The sequence below is a fragment of the Homo sapiens genome, chromosome 9 (assembly GCF_000001405.40).
Source record: "Homo sapiens chromosome 9, GRCh38.p14 Primary Assembly".
NCBI classification, from domain to species: Eukaryota; Metazoa; Chordata; class Mammalia; order Primates; family Hominidae; genus Homo; species Homo sapiens.
In genome coordinates, this window is record NC_000009.12 from 94,246,358 (window position 1) to 94,265,606 (window position 19,249).

The 19,249-nt window shown below is 43.4% G+C and overlaps 1 protein-coding gene and 1 long non-coding RNA gene across 4 annotated transcripts in view, besides 7 other annotated features; one reads left to right on the forward strand and one right to left on the reverse strand.

Annotated features, from left to right (window-relative positions):
• LINC02603 (long intergenic non-protein coding RNA 2603) overlaps positions 1-12,954 on the reverse strand; it is an 82,743-nt gene extending 69,789 nt beyond the window's left edge. The window contains exon 1 of the long non-coding RNA NR_160773.1: positions 12,754-12,954. This is a non-coding gene — a long non-coding RNA (long intergenic non-protein coding RNA 2603). The remainder of the gene's footprint in view (positions 1-12,753) is intronic.
• Positions 4,206-4,716: an enhancer, noted in NCBI's record as "NANOG hESC enhancer chr9:97012845-97013355 (GRCh37/hg19 assembly coordinates)". NCBI's record gives its function as "activates a minimal SCP1, AML or CMV promoter by ChIP-STARR-seq in primed H9 embryonic stem cells {active_cell/tissue: H9 hESC(primed)}" and the evidence as "EXISTENCE:reporter gene assay evidence [ECO:0000049][PMID:30033119]".
• Positions 12,460-13,105: an enhancer, noted in NCBI's record as "H3K27ac-H3K4me1 hESC enhancer chr9:97021099-97021744 (GRCh37/hg19 assembly coordinates)". NCBI's record gives its function as "activates a minimal SCP1, AML or CMV promoter by ChIP-STARR-seq in naive H9 embryonic stem cells {active_cell/tissue: H9 hESC(naive)}" and the evidence as "EXISTENCE:reporter gene assay evidence [ECO:0000049][PMID:30033119]".
• Positions 12,460-13,752: a biological region, named in NCBI's record as "H3K27ac-H3K4me1 hESC enhancers GRCh37_chr9:97021099-97021744 and GRCh37_chr9:97021745-97022391".
• The window catches only part of ZNF169 (zinc finger protein 169), a 42,532-nt gene continuing 36,223 nt past the window's right edge, over positions 12,941-19,249 (forward strand). For all 3 annotated transcript variants that reach the window (NM_001301275.2, NM_003448.3, NM_194320.4), the window contains exon 1: positions 12,941-12,988. The gene's annotated coding sequence lies outside the window, so the exon portion shown is untranslated. The remainder of the gene's footprint in view (positions 12,989-19,249) is intronic.
• Positions 12,944-13,263: an enhancer, noted in NCBI's record as "active region_28629". NCBI's record gives its function as "activates an Ori minimal core promoter by ATAC-STARR-seq in GM12878 lymphoblastoid cells {active_cell/tissue: GM12878}" and the evidence as "EXISTENCE:reporter gene assay evidence [ECO:0000049][PMID:35858748]".
• Positions 13,106-13,752: an enhancer, noted in NCBI's record as "H3K27ac-H3K4me1 hESC enhancer chr9:97021745-97022391 (GRCh37/hg19 assembly coordinates)". NCBI's record gives its function as "activates a minimal SCP1, AML or CMV promoter by ChIP-STARR-seq in primed H9 embryonic stem cells {active_cell/tissue: H9 hESC(primed)}" and the evidence as "EXISTENCE:reporter gene assay evidence [ECO:0000049][PMID:30033119]".
• Positions 13,294-13,423: an enhancer, noted in NCBI's record as "active region_28630". NCBI's record gives its function as "activates an Ori minimal core promoter by ATAC-STARR-seq in GM12878 lymphoblastoid cells {active_cell/tissue: GM12878}" and the evidence as "EXISTENCE:reporter gene assay evidence [ECO:0000049][PMID:35858748]".
• Positions 13,753-14,398: an enhancer, noted in NCBI's record as "H3K27ac-H3K4me1 hESC enhancer chr9:97022392-97023037 (GRCh37/hg19 assembly coordinates)". NCBI's record gives its function as "activates a minimal SCP1, AML or CMV promoter by ChIP-STARR-seq in primed H9 embryonic stem cells {active_cell/tissue: H9 hESC(primed)}" and the evidence as "EXISTENCE:reporter gene assay evidence [ECO:0000049][PMID:30033119]".

The following is a 19,249-nucleotide window of genomic DNA, read 5'->3' on the forward strand; positions in this document are numbered from 1 at the left end:
GGAGGGATGAAACCTGACTGATTAAGTACATGGAGACCTGAGGAAGAACATGGAAGCTCCCTTGGTTTTCTTTTTGCCTTGTATATCCCAAACTGGGTGCTAGAGAAGCCTGCAACACAATAATGCCAGTGAGCACAGGCAAAAATAAAGACCTAGGAAAGACTGATTGTCTAGTCAAAAGATCAGGAAAGAAGCAACCTAGCAAGAGATAAAATTTAGATATTAATTTATCCACCCCAAACACTGCAGAAAAAGTTCAGTCCCAGGCCCACCCCACAGATGGCTGCGTGGGAAGCCTAGAATTCTACCACCCTTGCCAGGTTTTAATGAGGCACATTGATCAAGTCAGAGTAAGCTGAGTGGGGAGCTGAGACTTTTATCCTTATGATCCTTATCCCTCCTCCTTCCACAGTGTCAATGGAGACTATCTATGGAATCTAGACTTCCAGCCCTATTTGGGCTTAACAAGGCACTCACATTCCCACACATGGGTGCCAGAGGAGACCTAGTGAAGATTCAGGACTTTCACCATTACCTAGCAAGAATGAAGCCACACCACTATGGTGTTAGTGGAAACCACATGGGGAGCAGTATTAAGACACCCTGGTGCCTACCAGCCAGGGTGATATTAGCAGAGGCCTAGAGGGGAACCTGAACTCCTGTCCCACCTAGCAGTAATGAAGAGCCCCTTTCCTCTGGTGTCAACAAAGGCTGAGTGGGGAACCTGGATTTTCAATCCTGAAGCAGAAGAATCACTTGAACCGAGGAGGCAGAGGTTGCAGTGAGCTGAGATCGTGCCATTGCACTCCAGCCTAGGCAACAAGAGTGAAACTCCATCTCAAAAAAAAAGAAAGAAAAGAAAAGACATGTTAACCCAGAAGCCTATATCCAGAGAAGAATATCCCCGTTTGGAGTGTTCAAGACATTCTTTTTTTTTTAAGACAGAGTCTCACTCTAATGCCCAGGCTGGGGTGCAGTGACACTCTCTCAGCTCACCGCAACCTCCACATCCTGGGTTCAAGCTATTCTCCTGCCTCAGCCTCCTGAGTAGCTGGGATTACAGGTGTGAACCACCACGCCCAGCTAATTTTTGTATTTTTAGTAGAGATGGGGTTTCACCATGTTGGCCAGGCTGGTCTCAAACTCCTGACCTCAAGTGATCCACCCACCTCTGCCTCCCAAAGTGCTGGAATTACAGGCGCGAGCACCGCACCTGGCCCCAAGACATTCTTAAAGGAATTAAAAGTAAATTTGTCACCAGCAGATATACCCTGAAAGAATGGCTAAAAGAAGTTCTCTAAACAGAAAAATAAAACAAAGAGTCTTGGAACATCAGGAAGAAGGAATGAACAATAAGAAGAGAAAAAATATAGGTAAATGCAGTGAACTCTTAAATTTTCTGAATAACTTTATTGAAGCAAAAATTATATCACTGTCCAATGTGGTTCTCAATGTATACAAAGGCAATATTTAAGACAATTATAAATGAGGGCGGGTAGGGCGGGCACGGTGGCTTACACCTGTAGTCACAGCATTTTGGGAGGCCAAGGCAGGTGAATCACCCGAGGTCAGGAGTTGGAGACCAGCCTGGCCAACATGATGAAACCCTGTCTCTACTAAAAACTACAAATATTAGCCTACCGTGGTGACAGGCGCCTGTAATCCCAGCAACTTGGGAGGCTGAGGCAGAAGAATCACTTGAACCTGGGAGGTGGAGGTTGCAGTGAACCGAGATCACACCATTGCACTCCAGCCTGGGGGACAAAGCGAAACTCCTCTCAAAAAATAAATAAATAAATAAATAAATAAATAAATGAGGGAGGGTAAAAGGATGTAAAGGTAAAATGAAGTTTCTACACATCACTGGGACTGGTAAAACAATATTCAGGAAACTGGCAAGATATAACTATTTTATTTATTTTTTGAGATGGATTACAGGCACGCGCCACCACGCCCAGCTAATTTTTTTATTTTACTAGAGATGGGGTTTTGCCATGTTGGCCAGGCTAGCCTTGAACTCCTGACCTCAGATGATGCACCTGCCTCAGCCTTCCCAAAGTGCTGGGATTACAGCCGTGAGCCACTGCGCCCGGCTAATATAACTTTTTTTTTAATGGTTTTTTAATGGTTTAACTGGAAGTTGCTCCTAAGGGCATACAGCAAATCAAGAAATATTTATTCAAGAAAGTCATGGTTAGAGCAGCTAGAGTCTGTGGCACTTAAACCGTGGCACACTCTCTCCATCCCCTACCCCCAGCTCAGATTTTTTGGAAGCTCCATTCTGGGTAGTTGTGGCCATGAAGACAGGGACCCCTCTCCTTCAGCTCCTAATCAGGGGATATGGCATATCACAGGAGGGATAGGTTTCCAGCATTCATCATCCTCTTTCATTCCACGTTGAAGAGACTATAATTCCTGGTGAGACTGAGACCTTACCCCACTCAACACCCACTCCTAGGGTGGAAGCTCTACCCCAGCTGAACACACCAGAACAAATAGGCAGAATATCACAATAGATGATGTAACTCCCAAGTAGTTCTAACAGAACACTCCATCTTTAACGATGGAAAAATACACATTCTTCTCAAAAGCACATGGAACATTTTTTGGGATAGACCACATGTAAAGTAATCAAACAAGCCTCAATAAGTCAAAAAGATTAAAACAAGACAAAGTATGTCTTTGACCACAATTAAGTAAAATTATAAATTAATAACAATGAAAATTTGGAAATTCACAAATATATAGAAATTTAAAAATACATTTTTAACCAATGGGTGAAAGAAATGAAAATGAAGCCACAACATACCAAAACTTAAGGGATGCAGCTAAAGCACTGCTTAGATAGAATTCTTTTTTTTTTTTTTGAGATGGAGTTTCGCTCTTATTGCCCAGGCTGGAGTGCAGTAGTGCCATCTCAGCTCACTGCAACCTCCGCCGCCCGGGTTCAAGCGATTCTCCTGCCTCAGCCACCCAAGTAGCTGGAACTACAGGCGCCTGCCACCACGCCCAGCTAATTTTTTGTATTTTTAGTAGGGATGGGGTTTCACCATGTTGGCCAGGCTGGTCTCAAACTCCTGACCTCAGGTGATCCGCCTGCCTCGGCCTCCCAAAGACCAGGGATTACATGGGAGAGCCACTGCACCCGGCCTTAGATAGAAATTGATAGCTGTAAATGCCTACTTTAAAAATGAAGAAAGATACCGGCCACATGGTGGCTCATGCCTGTAATCCCAGCACTTTGGGAGGCCAAGGCGGGCGGATCACGAGGTCAGGACATCGAGACCATCCTGGCTAACACGGAGAAACCCCATCTCTACTAAAAATACCAAAAATTAGCTGGGCGCAGTGGCGGGCTCCTGTAGTCCCAACTACTCAGGAGGCTGAGGCAGGAGAATGGCGTGAACCTGGGAGGCAGAGCTTGCAGTGAGCCGAGATTGCGCCCCTGCGCTCCAGCCTTGGCCACAGAGCGAGACTCCATCTCAAAAAAAAAAAAAAAAAAAAAGAAGAAGAAACATACCAAATGAATAACCTAACCTTTCACAGTAAGACACTGGAAAAAGAAGAGCAAATGAAAAGCAAGGAGAAGGAAGGAAATAATAAAGTGTAGAGTTAAAATCATTAAAATAGTGATAGTAAAAATAAAGAAAAGAAATGCAGTCTAAGTAGTTTATTTGAAAAGATCAATGAAATTGACAAACATGTAGCTAGACTGAACAAACAAAAAAGACGAAACTAAAATCAGAAATGACAAAGGGGACATTACTACCTACCTTAGGGAAATAAAAATGATTAAAAGGAAATACTATAAAACTGTTTGCCAACAAATTAGACAACTTAGATGAAATGAACACATTCTTAGAATGATACAAATTACTGAATCTGACCAAGGAAGAAATAGAAAATCTGAACATACCAAAGTATCAGGCCGTTCTTGTGTTGTCACAGAGGAATATCTGAGGCTGGGTAATTTATAAAGAAAAGAAGTTTAATTGGCTCATGTTTCCTCAGGGTATACAGGCATGGCACCAGCATATGCTTGGCTTCTGATGAGGCCTCAGAAAGCTTACAATCATTGTGAAGCCAAAGGGAGAGCAAGTATGTCACATGGCAAGAGCAGGAGAAAGAGAGAGGGAGAATGATGCCACACAACCAAATCTTGCATGAACTCAGAGCAGCAACTCACTTATCACCAAGGGGATGGAGCTAAGCCATTCTTTGATTATTATCATCATCATCATCATCATCATCATCATTGCAGGGAGCCGAAGGCCCGTGAGACGTGACCAACTCAGCATTTTGCTGGAGGCTATATGATCAAACAGCAGACTGTTTATCATGAATGCAGGATGTGGGCAAACTCACACTGCCCTGCCACCAAAAGGTTTGCTGAGAGACATCACTCCCTGGCACGGGGTTCCTTGCAGTTATCTACTGAGAAAATTAGTGCCTATTGTTCAAAGGATGCAGTCTCACAAGCCTGCTGTGAACCAAAGCTGGCTGACAATTACCCAACAATCACCCCCACCTTTCCTGCTGTCTCTTTTGCCTAATAAATACGGAGGGCTGTGTAAAGCTCAGGGCCCTTGTCCACTAGAGGCAAGGTGCCCCCTGACCCCTTCTTCCAAATAGATTCTTTTGTCTCTTGTCTTTTATTCTCATGTTCACCCCCGCTTTGTTCAGTCCTCCTAGGTCCGTGCAGGCTACAAGTGGCGCCCCGAACAGCGACAGAATCGGGTGCTCTATGGTTATTTTGAGACAAGGTCTTGCTCTGTCACCCAAGCTGGAGTACAGTGGTGTGATCACTGCTAACTGCAGCCTTGACCTCCTGGGCTCAAGCAATCCTCCCACCTCAGCCTCCCAAGTAGCTGGGACCATAGGCACATACCACTACATCTGGCTAAATTTAAACTTTTTTGAAGAGATGGGGTCCCACTATGTTGTCCAGCCTGGTCTTGAACTCCTGGCCTAGAGCAATTCTCCTGCCTCGGCCTCCCAAAGTGCTGGTATTATAGGCATGAGCCACCACCCCTGGCCTAAACCATTCTTGAGGGATCTGCCCCCGTGATCTACTCACCTCCCACTAGCCCCCACCTCCAACATTTGGAATCACATTTCAACTTGAGATCTAAGGGGACAAACATCCAAACCATATCAACGTATAACAAGAAAATAGATAGAATTCATAATGAAAACACTACCTACAAAGATAAGTTCAGTCCCAGATGCCTTCACTGGTAAATTCTACCACACACTTAAAGATGAATTCAGGCCTGGCATGGTGGCTCACGCCTGTAATCCCAGCACTTTGGGAGGCTGAGGCAGGTGGATCACGAGGTAAGGAGTTCAAGACCAGCCTGACCAAGATGGTGAAACCTCGTCTCTACTAAAAATACAAAAATTAGCCGGGCACGGTGGCAGGAGCCTGCAATCCCAGCTACTTGGGAGGCTGAGGCAGGAGAATCACTTGAACCCAGAAGGCAGAAGTTGCAGTGAGCCGAGATTGTGCCACTCTACTCCAGCCTGGGTGACAGTAAGAATCTGTCTCAAAAAAAAAAAAAAGATGAATCCATAGCAATTCTTCGCAAATTCTTCTAAGAAACAAAAGAGGAGAAAACTCTTTCCAACTCAGTCTTTGAAGCAAATATTGCTTCGATATTAAAATCAGAAAAAGCCATCACGAAAAAACTACAAGTCAATATATCTTATGAAATAGGTGCAAATCCCTCAATTAAAAACTAGCAAACTAAATCCAACAACATAAAAAAGGGCTAAATACCACATTCAAGTGGAATTTATCCCAGAAATTCAAGATTAATTTAACATCCAAAAATCAATATAATGCATCATATTGGTGGAACAAAGAACAAACCCCACAGGATTATCTTCATATTCAGAAAGAGCATTTGACAACATTTAAGTGGTTCTGTTCCACTTGAAGATTTATATCTTCAAGATGAAAATATTCAACGACAAACTAGGAGGAGAAGGTAACTTTATTGTGATGGTTAATTTTATTTGTCAACTTAAGTAGGCTAGGGGATACCCAGATAGCGGGTAAGACATTATTAATGGCTGTGTCTGTGAGGGTGTTTCTGAAAAAGATTAGCATTTGAATCAGTAGACTGAGTGAAAAAAATCACCCTCACCAATGTGGGCCGCATCCAATCCACTCAGGGCCCAAATAAAACATAAAAGTAGAAGAAGGGTGAATTCTTTTTTTTTTTTTTTTTTTTGAGATGGAGTCTCGCTCTGTCACCCAGGCTGGAGTGCAGTAGCGCAATCTTGGCTCACTGCAAGCTCTGCCTCCTGGGTTCAAGCGATTCTCCTGCCTCAGCCTCCCGAGTAGCTGGGAGTATAGGTGCCTGCCACCATCCCCAGCTAATTTTTGTATTTTAGTAGAGATGGGGTTTCACCATGTTGGCCAGGATGGTATCGATCTCTTGACCTCGTGATAGGAAAGGTGAATTCTTTCTCTCTGAGCTTGGATGTCTGTCTTCTCCTGCCCTCAGATATTGATGCCCCTGATTCTTGGGCCATCAGGTTCAGGCCAGTACTTATATTATCAGCCTTCAGACTCAGACTGAATTATACCACTGGCTTTCCTGGTTCTCCAGCTACAAGCTGTAGGTCCCATAGTAGGTCATGGGACCTTTGAGCTTTCATAACCATGTGAACCAATTCCTAAAATAAATTTTCTTTTATCTGTTTTATACATGTATATATAAAATTGGCTCTGTTTCTCTGGAGAACCCTAATACAGATTTTAGTGCTGAGAGTGGTTCTAGTGGAACAGAATTTTTAAGATGAGTTTTCTGAATTGGTTCTGGAATTGGCTGTCTAGTATGAATTGATTTAAAGATGTTAATAATTCTATTTCCAGTAGTAAAAAGAGAGCACTGATAATCCATGGTATAAACTAGATAATCCATGGCATGTTCATATAGATACACAAAATATCTGCTTTGGATACTCCCAATCAGCCACTTATAAGAAGCAAGGAGATAAGTGACTTTGTATATGATACTTTCAAACATTTTTGGAAAACTAAAGAATATAATGATGTAGTTGGCTAATGCTAATGTCACTGGACAAAGTGGTGAAAGAAAAAGACAAACTCAGGGATTTGAATTCCCAGGTCAAGTGCTGCATAAATGATCCAAGAGTTTCTAAGCATACCCTGAAGGAGAGCCTTATCTCCTATAGGCACAGGGCTGAAATTGCTGAAAAATCAAATGCAGAACCTCATTCTATGATTGGCTGAATTACAACACAAGTTGAACTCCAAGCCGCATAGGTGTCTACTGTTAAAGTGAGGACATTGGAAAAGAATGGGGTTCTGTAAACTTGGATGACTTTAATAAGGCTAGAGACATTGAGCCTCCAAACTCTGATGAATCTTTTTGCCAGTGGAAGAGGTCTCCCCAACCCCAGAGGAGCTGGCCTCCAAACCTGCAGTGATATTCATCTTTCCACCTCTGCCTGAAGGGATTAACTTTGCATTGCCTGAGGAAATGGTAATGGCCTACCCTGAGGCAGTTGTCTTGCAAGACACTGCTGGTTTTTCTCAAGACCCATACGCACCACCCCTTTTCATTTCTAAACCTATACCTAGACTGAAGTCCCAGCAGGTTCCTGAAGAAGAGGTACAAAGTGTGACCCATGAAAAGGTATACTATATTCCAAAAGAACTGCTTGATTTTCTAGTTTAAACAAGCAGAAACCAGGGAACATGTTTAGGAATCAATATTAAGGGTGTGGGGTAACGGGGGAAGGAACGTAAAGTTGGATCAGGTTGAATTCATTAATATGAGCCCACTAAGCAGAGATTCTACACTTAATGTTTCAGCTCAGGGACTTAGAAAGGGCTCTAACAGTTTGGTTGGTTGGCTGAAACGTGGATCCAAAGATTGACCACTGTGAGGGAACTGGAAATGTGCAACTTCCCTTTGTTTATTTGTTTTGTTTGCTTGTTTTTGAGACAGAGTCTTGCTCTGTCACCCAGACTAGAGTGCAGTGGTGCTCACTGCAAACTCCGCCTCCTAGGTTCAAGTGATTCTCCTGCCTCAGCCTCCCAAGTAGCTGGGATTACAGGCGTGTGCCACCACGCCTGGCTAATTTTTGTATTTTTAGTAGAGACTGGGTTTCACCATGTTGGCCAGGCTGGTCTCGAACTCCTGATCTCAGGTGATTTCCCCACCTCAGCCTTCCAAAGTGCTGGGATTACAGGTGTGAGCCACCGCGCCCACCCATCATCTGCTCATTATTATTCTTTTCCCTGCCCTCTTTTGAATTGAGTATTTTTAATGATTTCATTTGTCCTTTGTTGGTTCATTGGGTATATGTTGGTTGTGTTATTTCAGTTATATCTTTGAGTTTATATTACACATCTTTAATTTACCACAATTTACCTTTGGTGGTATTATACTATTTACACAAAGTAGAACCTTACAACAATGTGCTTCCATTTCAGCCCTGGCCTTTCTGTTATCATAGTTACGCATTTCACTTCTATATATATCATAAACATCACAATACCTTCTTATTACTTTAAACAGTTTATTATGTATTAAAGCTATTTAAATAGAAACACAGCTTTTACATATTCTTTCTAGCATTTTTCATTTCTCTGTGTAGATCCTTATTTCCATCTAGTATCCTTTTCCTTTTGATTGAAGGACATCCTGTTTTTTCACTGGGTAAAAAATTCTAAGTTGATACATTGGCTTTTTTTTTCAGTGCTTTAAAGATGTTGCTCCTTTTACCTTGCTTTTTTTTTTTTTTTTTTTTTGAGATAGAGTCTCACTCTGTCACCCAGGCTGGAGTGCAATGGTGCGATCTTGGCTCACAGCAACCTCCGCCTCCTGGGTTCAAACGATTCTCCTGCCTCAGCCTCCTGAGTATCTGGGATTACAGGTGCGCACCACCACTCCCGGCTAATTTTTGTATTTTTGGTAGAGACAGTGTTTCACCATGTTGGTCAGGCTGGTCTTGTACTCCTGACCTTATGATCCACCTGCCTTGGCCTCCCAAAGTGCTGGGATTACAGGCGTGAGCCACCGTGCCCGGCCGCATTTTTTATTGAATGAAATCTGCTGTTATCTTTGTTCATTTGTACATAATATGTCTCCTCTTTCTGGCTTTTTAAAACAAGTTTCTTTATAGCTGCTTTTAAGCAGTTGTACCTTGGTGTTGTTATTTTCATGTTTCCTCTGCATAGGCTTCACTGAGATGCTTTAATCTGTTGGCTTATAATTTTCATCACATAATTTTCATTTGAGTATTTTTTATCCCTGTTTTACTTTGAATAGTTTCCCCTTCCATGTCTTCAGGCTAACTTCTTTTTCCCCTGAAATGTCCAGTCTGCTGCAATACCAACTGTGTCAGTCAAAGTCTTCCAGAGAAATAGAACTAATAGGATATATATATATAGAGAGAGAGAGAGAGAGAGAGTGAGTAGGATATATGTATATATAGGATATATAAAGAAAAAAGTAATAGGATAGGAAAAAACTAATAGGATATATGTATCTGTATATATATATATATATATGTGTGTATATATACATATATATATTCTATCTATTGATCTGTTTATCAAGTGTTTATCAAGTGGGAGAGAGTGACTGATTTATTTAAGGGATTGGCTCATGCAATTGCAGGGGCTGGCAAGTCTGAAATCTGTAGGGCAGGCAGGCTGAAAATTCAGGTAAGAGTTGATATTGCAATCTTGAGTCTAAAATTCACGGGGCAGGACAGCAGGCTAAAACATCAGGGAGGATTTCTGTTAGAGTCTTAAGGCAGAATTCCTTCTCTGGAAACCTCAGATTTTGCCGTTAAGGCCTTCAACTGATTAGATGAAACCCTCCCACATTATGGAGTGTAATCTCCCTTAAAGTCAACTGACTGAAAATGTTAATTACACATGTAAGATATCTACATGGTAGTATCTAGACTACTACCAAATAATTGGTCATTATAGTGTAGCCAAGTTGACATGTAAAATTAATCATCATACCATCCAGTATGGCATGATGTATAGAAAAACCCTTCTTGAAGTGTTTCCTGTAGCTTCTTGAAGTTGTAGTTATAATAAATGTTTTAGTGCTCTTATCTTGGTTTTTTTTTTTTAGACAGGGTCTCGAAGTGTTTCCTGTAGCTTCTTGAAGTTGTAGTTACAATAAATGTTTTAGTGCTCTTATCTTGGTTTTTTTTTTTTAGACAGGGTCTTGCTAGGGTCTTGCCCAGGATGGTCTGGAACCCCTAGGTTTAAGCAATTGTCCCAATCGTTTTAAGCAGCCTCCTAAGTAGCTGCAACTACAGACGCATGCCACTGTGCCCAGCTTGTGTCCTTACCTTTTAATTATATCTTCTGTGTAATTTCTATTGGTTGACTTTTCTCTTCATTTTGGGGAATATATTCTTTGCATGCTAGCATTTTTTTAATTGGAATTCTAAAATCCAGGGTCTTAGGATGGAAGCAGGTGTAAGAATAGAAAAAAAAAAAAAAAGTCCCCAATTTTGCCTTATTGGATGCTGGATAGTTTTGTATTCTTTTAAATATTCTTGAGCTTTTTATCTGGGATGCAGTTAAGTTACTTGGGAACAATTCAGTCCTTTCTAGGCTTGGATTTAAGCTCTGTTAGGTGAGACCAGAGAAGCATTTAGGTTAATTTTTGCCCCACTATTGAGGCAAAACCCTTCCGAGTACATGACTTGATGCCATGTGAATTAGCATTTCCACTCTGTCTCGTGGGAACAGACATTATTCCTGTTCTTTTTGAGCTCACAGTATTGCCCTCTAACCCTTTCTAGTGTTTTTTACCCCTAATTTTGAGGAGTTTCCTCACATGTACATGCTGGTCAGCACTTAACTAATACCTGAGGAAGAGGACTCTCTGCACATCTCTGGCGCTCTCTCTCCCTTTCTGTACTCTGCCCTGTGAACTCTAGATGCATATGCCTCCTCAGATTCCCAGTTCCATCTCCTCAAGTTGAACTCCATGCTTCACTTGAGTTTCCCTTCTCTGTGCTATGACTTGGAAATTCTCTCCATCTGCGGGAAGTTCAAAGGCTCACCTCCATGATTTCCACTGCTCTTCATTGTCTGATGTCAAATGTCTTCAAATGTTTCATATATTTTGTCCTTTTAAATGTTGATTAAGGTGAAGGGCTAAATCTGGTTCCTGTTACTTCATTTTGAGAAGAAGCAAATAGGAAGTAACTTAAAAATACCACTTTTTATCAAATTCTTAGAAAAAGAGTATAACTCATTTTGCAAAGACTTTGGTATGTTTTTGAGCGTATTATTCTGTTACATCTAATAAACAATCTTTGCATTAGTAAGATAACTTTAATTGCTATAGTGTTAAATGTCCTCAAGTTTAGTTTTTCCTTATCTTCTTGTAATCAATTGGAATTAAAAAAAAAACTTCAGAATCTTCTTCTTTATAACAGGAAAAAAAACCCCAGTATTTTTGGCATTTTTAGAAGTACATTCATACACACTGTCATTTAAAACATGGGGGTGGGAGGTGGAGCAAGATGGTGGAATGGAAGGCTCCACTGATCATTCCCCCTTGTAAGAAAAACAAGTTAACAACTATTTACACACAAAAGCACCTTCACAAGAACCAAAAATCAGGTAAGCACTCGCAGTACCTGGTTTTTACTTCATATGACTGAAAGAGGCACTGAAAAGGTAGGAAAGACAGTCTTGAATCACCAATGCCCCTGACCCATCCCCCAGCAGTGGCTCTGTGGTGCGGAGAGAGAATCTATGTTCTTGGGAGACGGCAAGCACAGCAATGATGAGACATTGCATTGAACTCAGTGCTGCCCTGTTATACCAGAAAGCAAAACTGGATCAAACACAGCTGATTCTCACGCATGGAGGGAGTATTTACACCAGCCTTAGCCCGAGGAGAATCACCTATCCCAGCAGTTGGAATTTGAGTTACTGCCAATCTCACCACCTCTGGCTAGAGGGCCCTAAATAAACTCGAAAGGCAGCCTGGGCCACAAGGACGGCTCACGCCTGTAATCCCAGCACTTTGGGAGCCTGAAGTGGGAAAATTGCTTGAGGCCAGGAGTTCCAGACCAGCCTGGTCAACATAGCGAGACCCAGATTCTTTTTTTTTTTTTTCCCCCTTGAGAAGGAATCTCACTCTGTTGTCCAGGCTGGAGTACAGTGGTGCGATCTTGGCTCACTGCAACCTCCACCTCCCGAGTTCAAAGTGATTCTCCTGCCTCACCCTCCTGAGTAGCCGGGACTACAGGCGCCCATCACGACGCCCAGGTAATTTTTGTATTTTTAGTAGAGACGGGATTTTACCACATTGGCCAGGCTGCTCTCGAACTCCTGACCTCTGATCCGCCCGCCTCAGCCTCCCAAAGTGCTGGGATTACAGGCGTGAGCCACCGCGCCCGGCCGCGAGACCCAGATTCTAAAAAACAAAACAAAAAATTAGCCCGGTGTGGTGCTATGCACCTGTATTCCCAGCTACTCAGAAAGTTGAGGTGAGAGGATTGCTTGGCCAGGGGTTTGAGGCTGCAGTGAGCTATGATCACACCATTGTACTGCAGCCTGGCCGACAGAGCAAGACCCCTTCTCAAAAAATAAGTAAGTAGATAAAGTTCAGGGGTGTACAATCACAGGTGTGAATTTGCAGGATGGAGGACATGTAACATCTTTTTAAAAAAAAAAAAAATTAGAAGGACCGTATAAAAAGTTAAAGAAGACTTACTGCTCACCTGACCACCCTTCTCATAGACCCGAAAGTTAGATTTTACTTTCTGATTTTTCACAATTTCTCCTGGATGCTGCGGTCCCGCCCCTCGCAGCATTCTGGATGTTGTAGTCCCTCGCTCCAGGGCATCCACGGTAGGGTAGTTGCGCGCCCCGTGGCAGTCTGGGTAGTGTAGTTCCGTGCCCAGGGGCAGTCCGGCTCGCGTACTTCCGCGTTCCGGCATCGTCGCCTGGTGCGTGGTGAGTGTCCTTTCACAGTTCTGGTGAGCTAGCCCGGAGGTGGTCCCCGCTTTCGCGGGCCTTCCACTGGAAGGAAGGTCGGGAAAGCTGGCATGGGCAGTCCATGTCGTGGCCACATGTTCCTTGGTGTTTTGAGTTTCGGCTGTGGGGTCTGGGCGTGCGTGGTCCACCCCGGAGAGAGGTCTTGGCGGAGGTCCTCTGGTGGGGAGGGGGCGTTGGCGTTGTCGCGTGCTTCTGGCGGGACTTTGGGCCCAGTATGTTGACCTGGAGGGGCCAGTGCAGGCCTGGGACCGACTTCCCGAGCTACTTCGCAGGTGCGTCCCCGGTACTTCGGGGGCCGCTGAGTGGGCTCTGCCTGGGGTACCCAGACAGCATCCTGCCACTAGTATCCCGCCATCCCCTCCCCACCATCGCGCCTCGGAGGTCTCTGGGCCAGCAAATGTGCCTTTGGAGGACATGATATCCTCGGTTGGAGCAAACTTCCCCATTAGTGGGAGGCACGCGGCTTGGGCATCAGTCGGGTTGTTTATTTGTTTATTTATTAAATTTTATTTATTTATTTATTTATTTTTGAAACAGAGTCTCTCTCTGTCGCCCAGGCTGGAGTGCAGTGGCGCAATCTCGGTTCACTGCAATCTCCGCGCCCCACCCCAGCCGCCGGGTTCAAGCCATGCTCCCGCGTCAGCCTCCCGAGCAGCTGGGATTACAGGCACCCGCCACCACGCCCGGCTAATTTTTTGGTTTTTGTTTTGTTTTGTTTTTTTGAGACAGAGTTTCGCTCTTGTCGCCCAGGCTGGAGTGCAGTGGCGTGATTCCCCTGCCTCAGGCTCCCGAGTAGCTGGGACTACAGGCGCACGCCACCACGCCCGGCTAATATTTTGTGTTTTAGTAGAGACGGGGTTTCACCATGTTGGCAAGGCTGGTCTCGAACTCCTGACCTCAAGTAATCCCCCCGCCTCGGCCTCCCAAAGTACTGGGATTACAGGCGTGAGCCACCGTGCCCAACCTCAGTCCAGTTATTAGGGCTCTTGTGGATGGCTGGTGCACTGTGGTGGTGATGGTGCAGCTTGGCCACTAGGACCCGGGTTTGTGGGGGAGGATTGTTTGTGGGTAGACATCCAGACTTGGTCTTGATAGTGGGGGGGGGGACGGCTAGGGCCGTGCGACTCGGGTCAGTAGCCTTGGGGCCTGGGGACCCAAGTTGGTGAGTTGAGAAGGGCTTGCCTGGAGTTAGACATCCCTGGGTTGTGGGTTGCATGGGGGCGTGCTTGTATCCAGATTGTCGGCTTCTGCAGCTGTGTGGCTCCCTCGGACTTGGGGACCCTTCCGGGAGCATGGGTTGCAACAAGCAGAATGGTGCCCATAGGGCCAAGGAACATTTTTCTCAAGCCTCAGGGGGCTGTTGAGTGACTCCTTGAATTCCTGGAGGTGGGGGAAGAAGTTGGGTGGAAGGCATCCAAACCTACATTTTTTTTTTTTTTTTTTTTTTTTTTGAGATGAAGTCTCACTCTGTCGCCCAGGCTGGAGTGCAGTGGAGTGATCTCAGCTCACTGCAACCACGGCCTCCCGGGTTCAAGCAATTCTCTGCCTCAGGCTCCTGAGTAGCTGGTACCACAGGCGCCCGCCACCACGCCCGGCTAATTTTTTTTGTATTTTTAGTAGAGACGGGGTTTGTTTTTTGTTTGTTTGTTTGTTTGTTTGTTTTGAGAGGGAGTCTTGCTCTGTCGCCAGGCTGGAGTGCAGTGGGGTGGCGCGGCGCGATCTCGGCTCACTGCAAACTCCGCCTCCCGGGTTCAAGGTATTCTCCTGCCTCAGCCTCCCGAGTAGCTGGGACTACAGGCACGCGCTACCACACCTGGCTAATTTTTGTGTTTTTACCATGTTGGCTAGGATGGTCTCGATCTCCCGACCTCGTGATCCGCCCGCCTCGGCCTCCCAAAGTGCTGGGATTTCAGGCGTGAGCCACCGCACCCCGCTCGAGACGGGGTTTCACCATGTTGGTCAGGCTGGTCTTGAACTCCTGACCTCCTGATCCACCGGCCTCGGCCTCCCAAAGTGCTGGGATTACAAGCGTGAGCCACTGCGCCCGGCCAAGACCTACTCTTATTTCTAACTTCTCAGTATGAAAACATTGCAAAGATATCCAGAAGTAGTTTTGAAGTTCCATGGATTCATCACTCAGATTCACCACTTACAAATGACTCACCTGTCTTCTTTCCCCCAAATCTGCAACCCCAAGTGTGGATCTCTTTGGAAATTGTCTCTTTCACTAGGGGTCTATACCAGGATTTGGTGTCTTGAGTGACCCTTCATAGAGTGAGTTCAAATCCAGGTCTCTCCCTTTGTCACTGTCACTTTGAGCAAGGTACTTAACCTCGTGGAGCTGCTGTGAATGTAGAACGAAGTAAAACTTGTGTATGACACTTCTCTGATGTAGTTCTTTAAAACAAAATTCAAATGTCATATCATTTCATCTGTAAATGGCAAAAACCACAATTACTTTTGCACCAATCTAATACTTCAGTGTTCAGTATGCATCTCTCATAAATAAGGAATTTAAAGAAAAACAACTTCAGCATTAATGATCATACCCAAGAAAATTAACAGAATTTATTTAGTATCACTTATTCAGGCTGTGTTGTTTCCGTATTTGTCTCAAAAGTTGCCTCACTACAGATATTTGTCCACTACAAAGCTTTCCTGAGTTTTCTCTGGCAGAATTACTTCCATTGTCCTTTTTAGTTTCAGAGCACTTTATTATATGAGGACTCCACGGCTGGCATGGTATATCTCAACTGTCTGACTGTCCCACTGGTTTTGAGATAGTTCTTTGAGGGGACAGGCACCTTGTCTGGCTCCTCATGGGTCACTGACACAGTGCTTGGCACCCACCTGGACTGTGCAACTGACTGACTTTGAGGGTATCAGTTGTCTTTTTTGCCTGGAAAAGGAAGTTCATGGAGGATAGAAACTCAGATGGGAAAAGGGGGTTAGGCTATTACTGGGGAAAGCCTAGGGTGCCAAGATTGTGTGTGGATCTTATCTGAGGTCAGCGAGATCTACTGCCGGGTTCTGACAAGAGAAGGGTCATGATTTCTTTTTTTCTTTTCTTTTGTTTTTGTTTTTGTTTTGAGACAGAGTTTCACTCTGTCGCCCAGGCTGGAGTGCAGTGGTGCGATCTCGGCTCACTGCAACCTCTGCCTCCCAAGTTCAAGCGATTCTCCTGCCTCAACCTCCTGAGTAGCTGGGCTACAGGCGTGCGCCACCATGCCCAGCTAAATTTTTTTGTATTTTTAATAGAGACGGGGTTTTACCATGTTGGCCAGGATGGTCTTGATCTCCTAACCTCGTGATCCGCCTGCCTCGGCCTCCCAAAGTGCTGGGATTACAGGTGTGAGCCACCTCGCTTGGCTGAGAAGGGTCATGATTTCTGACTACACTCATTACCCTATCTCTCTGCTCCCTTTTACAGTGAAAGTCATCAAAAAAATTGCATGCACTTGATGAATGCAGTGCCTTTCTGTGCATCATCTATTTAATTTCCAAGTATTTGGAGGGTTTCTAGCTATTCTTACTGACTTCTTATTTAATTCCATTCAGGTCAAAGAACAAATGATGTAGAATGTCAGTCTTTGCAAATTTATTGGGAGTTATTTCACAACCCAGCATGTAGTGTGAGTTGGGGAATGTACCATGGGCCCTTTAAAAGCATGTGCATTCTGTTGAGCAGTGATGAGCTAATATCAGTTTGGTCAAGTTAGTTATTATGTTCAAATCTTGTATTTCCTTATGGATTTTTTTTTCTAGTTATTTTATCAACTGTTGTGGCAAGGTGTTAATTCGAACTAGGATTATGGAATTGCCAATTTCTCCATCGAGTTCTGTCAATTTTTGCTTCACGTATTTTGAAGCATTGTTATTATAAGGTGCATACATATTTATCTTTGTTATATCTTCCTGATGAATTGACTGTTTTATTTTCATGAAACATCCCTTTGTATCTCTGGTAACACTTTCTCTTGAAATGTAGTTTATCTGATAGTAATATAGCCATTTCAGTCTTGTTATGTTTACTCTTTGCATGTTATCTCTTTTCTCATTCATTTTCTTTCAACTGACCTATGTCTTTATATTTAAAGTCTTTATATTGTAGACAACATATGGTTAGGTCTTGCTTTTTTTTTTTTAATCTATTCTGATAATCTGTGCCTTTTTTATTTATTTTTAGAGACGATGTTTTGCTGTGTTGCCCAGGCTATTCTCCAACTCGTGGGCTTAAGCAATCCTCCTGTCTCAGCCTCCCAAAGTGCTGGGATTACAGGCATGAGCCACCGTGCCCAGCCAGTCTGTGCCTTTTAATTGGAATGCGTATTTCATGTAATTACTGATACAATTAGATTAGGTCTCTTTTACTGTTTGTTTTTTTATTTGCCTCCTGTTTTTTTTCTTCCCCTGTTCCTATTTCTGCCTTCTTTGGGCCAATTGAATTTTTTTTTTTTTTTAGCATTCTAATTTAACTTAATTCAATATAACTTAATTGCCACTTAGCTATAGTGCTTTGCATTTTTACTTTATATTTTTAGTGCCTGCTTTAGAGATGACAGTATATATTTGTAACTCTTCACAGTCTATGTAATGTCGAACAACTTCATGTAAAATGAGGGCTCTTGTAATTGTATAGGTACTTGTACCTACCTACTCCGTCATTCTTCAGGCTGTAATTGTCATATGTATTGAATCTTCATATGCTGTCAATCACAATGCAAATATAATGTATTTGCTATAAACAGTCTTTTATTTTATCTTTTTGAGGTGGCGTCTTGCTCTGTTGCCCAGTCTGGAGTGCAGTGGCACAATTTTGGCTCACTGCAACTTCTGCCTCGCGGGTTCAAGCGCTTCTCCTGTCTCAGCTTCCGAGTCACTGGGATTACAGGCATACGCTACCATGCCCAGCTAATTTTTGTATTTTTAGTAGAGATGGGGTTTCACCATGACCAGGTTTGTCTTGAACTCCTGACCTCAAGTGATCTGTCCACCTTGGCCCCCCAAAGTGCTGAGATTACAGACGTGAGCCACCGCGCCTGGCTTCAGTTGTATATGTTAAAGAAATTAGGAGAAAAAAGAAATAGTCTTTTTTGGGTGTGAACGTTATTTATCGTTTCTGGTGATCTTCAATCACCACAGAAAATCCAAGGTTCCATTTGGCATAATTTTTCTTCAGTTCACAAAAACTCTTACAGGGCAGGTCTGCTGACGATAAATTTTACTGGTTTTCTTTTACTTGAAAATGTCTTTGAAGGCTTTTTAAAAATCAGATTTATTACAAAATCACAACTCTTAAGTGTACAATTCGATGAGTTTTAAGTAATGTATATTGTTGTGTAACTGATTTGCTCCCTATCACTAAAGTTTTGCCTTTCCTAGAATTCCATGTAAATGAAATCATATAGTACGTATTCTGTTTCTGCCTTCTTGTTACTTGATCAGTAGTTTATTCCTATTCCTTTTTATTGTATTTTGTTGTATGATTCTACTACCTTTTGTTTATCCATTCTCCTTTTTCTGTTGTTTTTGATTGTTAGGTATAGTAATTAAGCTACTGTGACAATTCTTGTACAATTCTTTTTTTTCCAGGGTTCTTTTACTAGGCTGATGTATATCTCTTTCTGTACCCTGTTTTTTTTTTTTTTTTTTTTAATATCTCTTAGGTACTTTGGGAATTGCCAGATCATAGGTATGTTTAACATTAAAAAAAACCTGCCATACAGTCTTCAAAAATAGTTGTACCATTTTACAATCCTGTTCCCGGACCAAACTGAGGGTCAGGCTGCTATTTTTCGTGGCCCAATAACGAGATGCAGATGAACTGGGGAGGAAGAGAGTTTTTATTTCTGTAACCGGTTACAGGGAGAAGGCCTGGGAATCATCACAAAACTCAAAATTACAAAGTTTTGCCAGGCGCAGTGGCTCATGTCTGTAATCCCAGCACTTTGGGAGGCTGAGGCAGGCGGATCACTTGAGGTCAGGAGTTCGAGACCAGCCTGGCCAACATGGTGAAACCCTATCTCTACTAAAAATACAAAAATTAACCAGGCTTTGTGGCAGGCATCTGTAATCCTACTTACTTGGGAGGCTGAGGCAGGAGACTCACTTGAGCCCGGGAGGTAGAGGTTGCAGTGAGCCAAGATCGCCCCATTGCACTCCATCCTGGGGGACAGAGCGAGACTCTGTCTCAAAAAAAAAAAAAAATTACAAAGTTTT